The 11,832-nt window shown below is 46.5% G+C and overlaps 1 protein-coding gene and 1 long non-coding RNA gene across 2 annotated transcripts; one reads left to right on the top strand and one right to left on the bottom strand.

The window, feature by feature from the left end:
- The first annotated feature begins 1,086 nt into the window (after nucleotides 1-1,086).
- Nucleotides 1,087-11,626, top strand: LOC101929106 (uncharacterized). The gene is made up of 5 exons (NR_110052.1): nucleotides 1,087-1,430; nucleotides 4,870-5,196; nucleotides 8,603-9,488; nucleotides 10,014-10,189; nucleotides 10,686-11,626. It is a non-coding gene; the product is annotated as an uncharacterized LOC101929106 (long non-coding RNA).
- On the bottom strand, nucleotides 7,254-11,230 carry RTP1 (receptor transporter protein 1). Its single transcript, NM_153708.3, has 2 exons — nucleotides 10,929-11,230; nucleotides 7,254-9,165 (listed from the first exon to the last, which is right to left on the bottom strand). Exons 1-2 carry the CDS (start codon nucleotides 11,198-11,200, stop codon nucleotides 8,646-8,648), a joined length of 792 nt encoding a protein of 263 aa, NP_714919.2. The 5' UTR covers nucleotides 11,201-11,230; the 3' UTR covers nucleotides 7,254-8,645.
- Nucleotides 11,627-11,832: the final 206 nt, after the last annotated feature.

Here is an 11,832-nt window from a genome sequence, read left to right as displayed (position 1 = left end):
TGGGGCTGCCTGGAGGGCTAATCTCCCTCTTTAACCTAGGGTCGCAGGCATGGGAGTCTGCTTTAAAAAGCTCCACAGACACCTGTGGCGAGACATTACAGGTGGAGCTACACAATAGATCATCTAAGACCCAGAGGAGAAGCTGGAGTGAGACTCTGGGAAATGAAGACATTCAAAAGCAGGCCTGTATACTGGGAAATTGAAAAAGCCATAGGCCCAGTCAAGATGCATGCTCATAAAAGAACTGAAAAGACTTTAAGCTTTCACCTCTGGCTGATCCCTAGGTACAGGGCACGCCCAGCTAATTAGTGAAGGGCTTCTCTGGCACAAAGCCAGTCTGCAAAGACTGGAAGAGGTGGCTATACTCCAAATGCCCCATCTTGAACAACTACAAAATTACCTAAAGAATTGAAAGCAAGAATTCAAACAGATGAATCATTGCCCACTAATGTTTGTGGAAGCATTATTCACAATAGGCAAAAGGTGGAAACAATTCAAATGTTTTTCAATGGATGAATGGAGTTTTAGGTATCCTGTTAGAAGCAACAGAAAACAGACTAAGAGAGAAAATTGCTACCAAGGAGTGGGGTGCTGCTTGTAATGAATACCTGAAAATGTGGAATTGGCTTTAGAATCAGGTAATGGGCAGAGGCTGAAAGAATTTGGAGGAGCAGTCTAGGAAATGCCTAGATTCTGATGAAGGCTTAGAAGACAAAAAGACTAGGGAAAGTTTGAAACTCTTTAGAGACTGGTTAAGTGGTCATGACCAGAGTGCTGATGGAAATATGAACAGTAAAGGCCATTCTGATGAGGTTTCAAATAGAACTGAGGAACAAAGTATTTGAAACTGGAATAAAAGCCATCTTTGTTATAAATTTGCAAAGAACTTGGCTGAACTGTGTCCACACTCAAGAACTCTGTGGAAGGCCAAACTTGGAAGTGATGAGCTAAGGTATCTGGCAGAATAAATTTCTAAGCAAAACAAGCAGCTGCATGGTTACTTTTGGCAGCTTACACTGAGGCTGAGGAACAAAAAAAATAATTGGAAGAATTTATAATTAAAAGGGAAGCAGAGTGGAAAGATTTGAAAATTTATCAGCCTGGCCATGTAAAAAGTGAAAAAGCAAGGATGTAGCCCAGAGGCCATTTGCTAAAGAGATTAGCATGGCTAGAAGGGATCCAGGTGCTATTCCTCAAGACAATGGAAGAAAGACCTCAAAGGCATTTCAGAGATTTTCAAGGCTGCCCCTCTTATCACAGACCCAGAGGCCTAGGAGGGCAGAATGGTTTCAGGGAGCAAGCCCAGGCACTTTCTGTGGGCTTACTGCCCAAGACCACCTCCAGACTCTGTGCCCCAGCACAGTACTCTGAGGACACCCCAGCAAGAACTCAAGCAGGCCAAGGTGTGGCTCATGCTGCAGATCTGGAAGGTAAGTCATAAACCTTGGCAGCATCCACATGGTGCTAATTCTGCTGACTTGCAAGAAGCAAGAGCTGTGGAGGCTTATTAAGCCTTCGTCTAAGTTTCAGAAAATGTCATTGATAACGTGACAGCACAGACAAAGACTTGTCATGACAGTAGAGCCACCACAGAGAGCCTCTACTAGAGCAATGCCAAGCAGAAATGTAGGGTCAGAGCTGCTGTAGAATGTCTTCAGTAGGGCAATGCCTCATGGAGCTCTGGGAATGGAATTCCACCAAGACCCCAGCCTGGAAGAGCTGGGTGGACGGACCCCAATCAAGCTTCAGAGGCAGAGCTGCCCAAGGCTTGTGGGGCCCAACCCCCATACTAGTGTGTAGAAGATGCCAGAAATGGAGTCAAAGGAGATCATTCTGGAGTCTTAAGACCCAATGTCTACTTTCTTGGGTTTCTGAGTTGCTTAAAGCCTGTTACCCCTTCTTTCTTTTCTATTTCTCCCTTTTGGAATAAGAATGTGTACGATATGCTTGTCCCACCATTGTATATTAGAAGTAGATATTTTGTTTTGATTTCACAGGCTCATATATAAGACTTAGGACTTTGAACCTTTAAGTTGCTGCTGGACCAAGTTAAGACTTTGGAGCTATGCAGATGGAATATATGTCTTTGTATGTGGGAAGGACATGAGTTTTTGGGGGCTAGGACAGAATGCTATGGTTTGAGTGTCCTCTCAAAAACTCATATTGAAACTTCATCCCCAATGTGGCAGTATTGAAAGGTGGGGCTTATAAAAGGTGATCAGGTCATGAAGGCTTTGCCTCACAAATGGAGTAATCCATTCATGGATTAATAGGTTAATGGATTAATGAGTTATCATGGGAGGAGAACTGGCGGCTTTATAAGAAAAAGAAGAAAGACCTGAGTGAGCACATTAGCATGCTAAGTCCCCTTGCCATGTGATGCCACCTTGTGATGCCATAAATAGTCCCCACCAGCAAGAAGGCCCTCACTAGATGCAGCACCTCATCCTTAGACTCCTGAGCCTGCATAACTGTAAGAAATATATTTCTTTGCTTTATAAATTACACAGTTTCGGGTATTCTGTTGTAAGAACAGAAAATGGGCTAAGACAAAATAAATAAACAAAATGTGGTATATACATTCAAGGAAATACAATTCAACCTTAAAAAGGAAGGAAGTTGCGATACATGCTTTAATATTACATACCTTGAAAATATTATGCTAAGTGAAATAAGCCAGATGCAGAAGGACAAATATTGTGGCTACTATGCCACTGGAAACATGAAGTCATTGCTTGAAATAAATATGAGGGGAAGAAAATAAATGACTCCCTATATATTAAAGTAAACTAGGTAAAATAGTCAAACTCATAGACAGAAACTTGAATGGTGGTTGTCGTGGGGCTGTGAAATGATTTGATAGTTTCAGTTTGGGTTGATGAAACGGTTCTGGAGATAAACAGCAGTGATGGTTACACAGCAATGTGAATGTACTTAATGTCACTGAATTGTGCAATTAAAAATAGTTAAAATAAAAAATCTTATGGAACACCAGAGGGAAAACATACTTTAGAATCAGTTAGGACATGTTGACTTTGAAATGCCTGTGAAACAGTCAAACAGAGATGTCAAGGAGAACATAAATGTAAGAAGTCAAGAAGAAAATTCATGCCTTGAGATGTATATTTGAGTCATTAGCATACAGATATTAAAGAACACTCAGAATAGATTCAATCAGCCAGAGGACATGGACAAATATGAGAAGATCAAAGAGACTAAGACTTGGAATTGGAGCCTAAAGAATACCAACATTCAGGAGGCAGGCAGAGGCAGAGAAACCTGTAAAGAAAAGAGGAAGGAGACAGAAAAGCTGAAGGTAAATCAGGAGGGTGCATGTCCCTGAAACCAAGTAAAGCAAGTGTTTGGAGATGGTCAATAGTGTTGAACTCCTGTGAGAGGCCAAGAAAAATAAGGTTGAAATGTGTTCATTGTATGTAGCCATAAGATGCCTGATTGTGAGCTGGATGAGGACAATTTCTGCAACATTGTGGGGTGAACGTTAGCCTGTAGAATTAACTGGAAGTGTAAATGTGGAGGCAGCCTATGAACAGTCCTTGAAACATCTCATTGTAAATGGAAGGAGAAAAGGCAGGATTTGGCTGGGCGTGGTGGCTCATGCCTGTACTCCCAGCACTTTGAGCAGCTGAGGCAGGTGAATCACCCGAAGTCAGGAGTTTGAGACCAGCCTGGCCAACATGGGAAAACCCCGTCTCTACTAAAAACACAAAAATTAGCTAGGCATGGTGGCGGGCACCTATAATCCCAGCTATTTGGGAGGCTGAGGCAGGAGAATCGCTTGAACCAGGGAGGCGGAGGTTACAGTGAGCCAAGATCATGCCACTTCACTCCAGCCTGGGTGAAAGAGCGAAACTCCATCTCAAAAAAAAAAAAAAATAGAAGAAGAAAAGGCAAGATTTGTAGGGGAATGTGTGGGGTTGACGCAGGTGCTTCAGCACAGAGAACAGAGAAGTTGAAGGTCCAGGGAGAGGGCAGATGGAGCTCTGGTCTGAGCTTTCATCGTCAGAGTTGACCCAGTGGAGAAGTCCTGGTGTATCAGCCAGAGTCCTTTGGTTGAAACACACAGAGATGGCAGCTGATTTAAGCATAAAAGGGAAAGTATTGAAAAGCTATGGGGAAAGTTCGCAGAATCAGAAAGAGTGGAGAACAAGTATCAGCAAACGACAAAATTTGGCCATGCTGTAGAGACCATCCTGGCTAACACGGTGAAACCCCGTCTCTACTAAAAATACAAAAAAATTAGCCACGCTTGGTGGTGGGAGCCTGTAGTCCCAGCTACTCAGGAGGCTGAGGCAAGAGAATGGTGTGAACCCGGGAGGTGGAGCTTGCAGTGAGCCGAGATCGCACCACTGCACTCCAGCCTGGGCGACAGTGCTAGACTCCATCTCAAAAAAAAAAAAAAAAAAAAAAAAAGAAAAAATTGGCCATGCAGGAGATATGAATAGGAAAAACAATAGAAACAATTTTACAATTATGTCGGGGGCCACCACTGGAATTGATAGGCTCCATCCGTTTTTAGTGTTTTTATCACTTTGCTTATCATTGAAATTCCAATCAACTTCTCTTAGGGCATGTGCTCCTTGCTTGGGAGTTGAGGGGAGGTGCAGAGTTCTTTGATATGCCACCACGTTATATTGCATGGGGTACAGGTAATTCCCGGAAAAGGAAGTCAGAGTGCTATTTTTAAAGGATGTGGAGTGGATGCTGGGCCCCCAGAAAGAAACCCAACCAGAACAGGACTGCAAAAGTCAGAAACTGGAAATTGTACCTTGAGAAAGTCAGAGCAAGGACACTAACCTTGTCTTCTGATACTCTTTCAGTACTTATTCATTCATGTTTTCATTCAATTAGTGTACCACAACCCAGAGTGGAGGGAAGTTAACATCCTATGGGGCAACCTTCAGCTATTGGAAGACAGGAGCCAGGGGATAGATAGCCCTTTACTCCCAAGTGATCTGGAGATGCATTTCATCCGGCTTCTCAGATGGTTTTCTGGGACTGAACAACCCTTCACCAGCGGAGATGGCCAACTTGACAAGACCTCCTTCCATTGGATTTCCCTCCTGCTTTGCTGTGCTCCCTCTGCCTTACTCCAGCTTTCTGAGGTCATGCTCCCCAGTCAAATACTATCACATAAACCTCTGCCTTGACTTCTGCTTTCTGAAAACACAGGCTAAGGTAAGCGCAAGGCGAACCAGGAGCGAGAGGGTGGGGTGGGGGAACAGGTGACAGCATGAAGTAGAAGGCCTGAGAAGAGCATCTGAGTTGAGACTTGAGCCAACACTTGAGGGAGGTCACAAAGTGAGGCAAGTGAATTTCTTGGGAAAGACCATTCCAGGCAGAGGGAACAGGTAGAATAAGGCCCTAAGCACATACATGCCTGTGTATTTGGGGAACAGCAAAGAAACCAGGGTAGCTACAGAAATGAGGGCAAAGAGTACTAGAGGATATCAGTAACACGGCTGAAGCCACACCACGTTTGGCCTTGCAGGATTTGGCTTTTACAGAACACAAAAGGGAGCACAAGAATGGCAGGATCTGACTTAGGTTAAAAGGATTGCCCTGGCTGCAGTGCTGAGAAAAGATCTGTATGGGGAATAGGAAACATCCTCCCCTGTGGGATCCCACTTGTGAGAACCAGAACCAGAAAGTGAAAAAATTCAAACCCTTTTGAGGGAGGCTTAAAAGGAAAAAGTCTTCTTTAAAAGGCAGAACTATCCAAAGATGGCATGAGCTGCCTTGGGTGGTAATGATCTCCTGTCACTGGGGGTGCTCAAATACAGGCTGGAGAACTTGTCATTGGAAAGTGTGTAAAAATGCTTTATATGGGCTAATACAGGATGGCACAAAGACAGACTTCAGAATGCTTCATATCATAAGAGCATCTAAGACCCAGAGAGAATAATGACCCCCCCAAAAGTCCCAGCAGAACCCAATTAAAATAAAATGAGGACCCACAGCTCCCAATGCAGTGTTCAGGCCCCTTCACATGACCCCATGCTATCATCTTAAAACAAAACAAAAATAAAAACAAAACGCCGTCCCTACTTCAAGTACCTTAATTTAAACTGATTTGCTCTGGGATATGTAAGTTCAAGACATAGAAAGAATGAGTGGTGAAGTGAGAAGGAGACTCCGAATATCGTCACAAGCATAATATGCTAGAGAGGTGAGGATCTGGCTGGAGATGGCTCAGCTTATTGGTTCATTTATTCATTCAATACATTTTTATTGAACATTTGTTATGCATTCAATAGAGGTGAATGAAATCCATGGAGTCTATGCTTTTTGGAACTTACATCCTAGCAGGGATGAGTAATTATAACAAGTTTTATGAGTGTCCCAGCAAGGGTGGCAGAGCTCAGTGACAAAGACTCTCAGAGCAGAACACAGCCATTGTAGCAGCAAACCTGCAGGAGCAAGGGAGTGTGAGGGACGGTGAACTCCCCAGAGCACAGGCTGGGGGTGAGTAGGGCAGCTAGAGAAAGGGAAGCCGAGCCCCAGTCCTAAAGAATCCAGGGCAAATCATCAAGGAAGATCTCAGGGCTCATTTTTCATAAAACTAGATGCAAAAGGAAGTCTATCCCTCAGTTAGAAGGCATTACACCAGGCAGTACAGGTCGATCACCTGGGTGTTTTATTCTAATTCAGATGCTCAGGTCCCACTTCCCCCAAATTTTGATCCCATTGGTCTGGGGTAGAGGCTAAGTACTTATATTTCTTTAAAATCTCCCCAGAATTTCTGAAGTACAGCCAGGGCTGAAAACTTCTGTAGCAAGCAGAGATGTCTGAGAAACCAGAGAGCACCCCCTATATTCCGCTGCACCCACAGTATTCATTTCTTCCTCTAGTCTGCATATTCTGAACACCTACTGTCTAGCAAGTAAATCAGGACTTGCTAGATAGCAGGTGTTCAGGATATGCGGACTAGATGAAGAAATAAATACTCTGTGAATGAAGTAAAGGAAGCCATCGCTGCTTACTTGAATTCGAGCCAGGATAGGAGTAAAACTGACCTTATGCTGATCCCCTGAATGACTGACTTCCATCCCTCCTGACTGTGGACGAGACTGGCCAAAAACTGGAGCTAGATAGAGCCTTATGTGGCAGTGGGGTCAGGGGGCAGAAGGGAGAAAAGGGGAGACAGGGTGGCGGGATGGAGGGGACCAATAGCTCATTACAGATCTGGGACAGTGGGGGAATCTCAAACACACATTAATGACTACTAAGCCTTATGGAAGATATCCTGTCTTTATTAAAGTGTCCCATCTTTATATAAGTGACCCCCTTCCTCCATCACTACAGATGATGGTGACTTTCTATTAAAGAGGAGAGTAGTCAAGTTTTTAACAGAGGTGGGGTAAATGAGGCCCCTCAAAAGTGCAGCTTGCTGCCTGTCCCCACCAATTCCATTCCAGACCCCCCACTGTCAGAAAGTGTCTCCTCCCATTTCAAGCCATATCACATCTCATTTTAGAGCCTTGTAAGGTTCTCCCACATATCTGTGCACTTCCCCATGGACAAAGCATTTTACATCTTTAACGCCCTCTCTCTTGCTGAAGATACCCCATCCCTGTGGCTTTAGGGGGACAGCTGATCTTTGGCAAGAGGCCTCATGCTTGGCCAATGTGAGAAAGCCATTCAACTATAATTTCAGCAAAGAACCCAGGAGGCCAGGCCCCTGCTCCTGAATTCTGGCCATCAGCACTGCTGAGAATCTGCTAGACTTGGTCCCCGAACTCTGAAGACCCTCCATTATAATGCCTCCCAGAGATTTTGTGCTTTGCTTCTAAAACTCTGTCTTCTGAACCTCCCCTAAATTCTCTGCCAGTTAATACGCAGTGGGTGAGAAGCCTAACTCTATGAGACCCCACCCCAACCACCATCTTTCAGGCAGGCAGACCCCAGAATCTGCCCTGAGTGGAAAGAAGCTGGAATCTGAGAAACAAAAAAAAGAGACCCTGTGTACCTGGCAGCAAAGGAACAGCCTGATCTCCCACCTCTTGCACTTCAAGGGAAACCTCTGCTGCGTGTGTGAAGGCAGAATCACGGATGAGGCTCACAGGGTGGGCAAAGAAGCTAATTTAAGGCTGCAGCTAGAGAAAGTGGGAGATCATGAGGGGCAGGGGTGAGGGACTAATAAGAGCAAGGTCGAGCTCATTACTGTGGAAAGCCCTTTTGAGATCACCCAGTCCTCTAATTTTCAAACTTTTTAAAAGTAGTTAAACTTTTTTTTTTTTTTTTTTTGGTACAAAAATCTTAAATGGAACCCTATCTAAAGTAAAGCTGTTCTGATCGAAGCAAGAGGAGGAGGTAGGAGTTGGAGGATGGGTGTTTAGATCAGGAGTTGGAGACACCCACTAGCTTAGCCTACTTTCCAAATCCAAAAGTCCCTGAGGCACCTACGCAGAACTTTGGGGTCCTGGGTTTCACTATGATAAACCAATGATCTTGCCCAAACCCTGAGTTTTATAGATGGAAAAACTGTATAATTTGTCCAAGATCCCCACTGAGTCAGTGACATCACCAGCGCTAGAAGTTTACACTATTCTCAACCCACGTCTCTCCTCTACCCTCGCATCAGCTAACTGGCACCCTCGACAGGCTCTGGGCCCAACCACGGAATCTTATACGGAGCTACGGAAAGAGAACTGCAGGTAGATGATCAGCAGCAGGACCGTGGCCCAAAACAAGCACCAGGGGATAGAGCAGAAGTTCCAGCCTGAGCCCGTCTGGTCCTGCGACTTGGTGGGGCTGGGCGCCCGGGAGAAGGTGTAGGTGGTCGCCTCCTCCTCCAGCAGCTTCTCGCTGGGCTTCCAGTGCACGATGCCCTCCTGGCAGGCCTCGCAGAACTCTCCGCGGTGCCGCCGGTTGTCCTGGCGGCTGGCCACGTGGATGCGGTACTGGCCGCCACGCTCGCCGTAGCACTGCTCGCGCAGGCTGGTGATGAGGTTGTCCACCAGGCCCTCGATGTTCTCCTCCAGCATGCTGGACTCGTCCAGCCGCGCCGTGCCGCACTCATAGCACAGCTGCTTGAAGACGCGCATGCGCACCGAGCCCGCCCGCTGGGCGCGGTCCAGGAACATGTGGAAGAGGATGACCACGTAGGGCGACTGCCAGGTGTGCCAGCACCAGGAGCAGTGGAACCTGCGGAGACGGGAGGAGAGGGAGGAATAGAAGACGGGCGGAGGTGGTGGAAACAGCCCTAGGAATGGCGTGAGGGGACGTGGAGGCTAAGCAGAGCCTGGAGGTGGAGGAAGTGTGTTGCCGGCGCCCTGGGTTCATTAGCTTTCCCCAGGAAGCCACTCAGCCTTGCAAGTGCCCCTAGGACTACAGCAGGTTCCTCAGGATGTCACCGGGCATCCAGCAGTGCTCTACCTCCTCAGTGCTTTCCAGAGGCCTAACTCCCACCACCCCAGCATTGGGCGTCATTCTTATTCCTCATGGGCAAAATGCGCTTGGTGCACTAGGTGAGTCCTTCCTTCTCACACCAGATAAGAAACACATAATCCATCTGCACATTTCTATCTGTTAACACTGACTGTGAACAGGCTAGATCCAAATTAGGAGAAAATGACACCATTACTAGCTATCAACGTCCAGGCCAGTGTCAGAGTTAATGCATCACAAGGCCTGGAGGTGGAGGCAGTCTGTGCCCAGATCCCCAAGGCCTGTAGTCTCCCAGGCCTGACTGGGGCCAGCTGGGGATTACAGGTCCCCAGCCAGGTCTGGGGCAGCCACAAGCCCTCCCCACTCAGCCCCCACAGCCTTCCAGGTCTTCAAGAAGCTCCTGATCCTGCCTGTAAGTGTCCAGCCCTTGACACCCCTCCTGTCAGCCAGTTTAGGAGCTTCACATTTTCATTCTCTTCTTGTTCACACATCTTTTGGGGACTGTTTCCTCTCTCAGACCAGACTACAAAACCTGGATTGAAAAATGTCGTAACTAGAGGGACCTGGAAATCACCTAATTAATGTTTTCTTTTATGCTGAGACAGAGTGAGAGAGGCATCCATGTACACACAGCTAGAGGCAGAACCGGCGCCCAGCACGTAACAGGTGCCCAGTAATGTTTCCTGAATTGAAGTGAATTGGCTGAACCAGGGCAAGCAGGAAGGCCTTGCTTCTGACTTCCAGGCTGCACCACTCAGCCTCCCCATCTTATGTCTCAAAGGTAAGCCCCTACACTCTGGACCCATGAACAAGAGTGCTAGAAATTCATCTCAGATAGTTTTTACATACTAATCACCTAGAACTCTTCTTGAAATCAGATTCTGATTCAGATCTAAAAGGGGCCCAAGATTCTGCTTTCTTAACAAATTCCAGGTGATGCCGATCCTGCTGCTCTGTGGACCACAGGCTAACCTCTCACTGTGCAAAAGGAGAAAGCCAGGTCCAAGAAGAAAATCGAGTTCCTCAACAGCCATGGAGCCAATGATAGAGCCAGTTTCTGGCACATCTCATGTATTCAATATTTTAAGTGAAATTAAGTTGAGTTAAATAGATTTAAACCGGTCCCAGGACCAGAGCACGGACGTCTCGACCCCCAGTGGGCCTCAAACCCTTCTTCTCTGGTTTTAAACTACTTTTTAAGAGACTGTTAAAATAGAAAATATGTAAAATGTCAGTGTGTAGGACTCATACGTATATTCTATGTCTTTATTTTCCAGACGGAAAAATTGTGACTCAGAGAGGAAGAGTAACACAGGTGATCAGTAGAAGAGCTGAAATCCAACTCAAGTGTCGTAGTTCCCAGTTAGGGACTCTTTCTCTGACTTCCAGTCTACGCCAGCCTAATAGTGAGATTGAAGCTAAACACTTGGGTTCTACGTAATCTTCCTCTCCTTGGAAGGTGCCCCAGAGCTAGGGACCTAGAGGCGGCCTGCAGGGATCCACCTTCCTGGGCTACTCACCTGCCTGAAGCATGCAATTCCAGGTACTGCTTCCAACCAGGGCTCAGCACATTGTGCTTGAGGTTGGGGTCTATGATGAGGTCCCAGCTGTCAGCCGGCTTTGCCTCCTCCATCTTCTCATAGAAGACTTTCTTCCACTCATCTGTGGTCACGCTTTTACACATGGTCTCGTCAGTAGTGAGGGAAGGCAATTTCCACCTTAGTGAGAACACGGAGAGTGAGGGTAGGTGCAGGGCAGGGCAGCGCAGTCTCCACGGTCTAAAAATCCTCATCGACAAGACCAGGAGGAAGCAGGACCCAGCTCCCTCCTTTGTCCGCAGTGGAACCTGTTTCCACGGCAACCAGGCAGGTTGCCAGAAGACAGAGCTTGGGGAGGAGGGAGTCTCTGAAGAGGTGTTTCAAGGCCCTGAACTGAGATTGCAGAGGCAGAGTTTGTGGGTCTAAATGATCCAAGACAGAGTGGGGGACCTGACCAGAGATTGAGCTTCAGACCATCTCACCCTGGCCTGGAAAGAGTATGGGGAGGTGAGGACTGGGAACTGGCTCAGTTTCACCTTGCCGTCCCCTGGAGGCATCATCAGCATCTGGCTGCTACGGTAACCATGATGCCTTAGGCAGCCAAGGAGAAATGAGGGATGGGGAGATGTAAATTTGTTAGTAGATGGAGCAATAATAATAAACTCTCTCTCGGCTTCCCCAGCCATCTTGTGACCAGCACTTTGCCATTTTCAAAACACAATTGGAGGTCTCTTAAGTTATGATTACTATTGCTGCAGTACAGATCAGGAGCCTAGGACTCACCTAGCCTATAAATGGCGGAGCCTGTATACAAATTCAAGCTGTTGACCCCAGACCGGTTCATTAATTCATTCATTTCAAACATATCCGAGCATGTGGGTAGGGT

Source organism: Homo sapiens, chromosome 3 (genome assembly GCF_000001405.40).
Source record: "Homo sapiens chromosome 3, GRCh38.p14 Primary Assembly".
Lineage (NCBI taxonomy): Eukaryota > Metazoa > Chordata > Mammalia > Primates > Hominidae > Homo > Homo sapiens.
The sequence above is the reverse complement of the archived record's forward strand: the minus strand, read 5'-3'. Positions and strand labels throughout refer to the sequence as shown.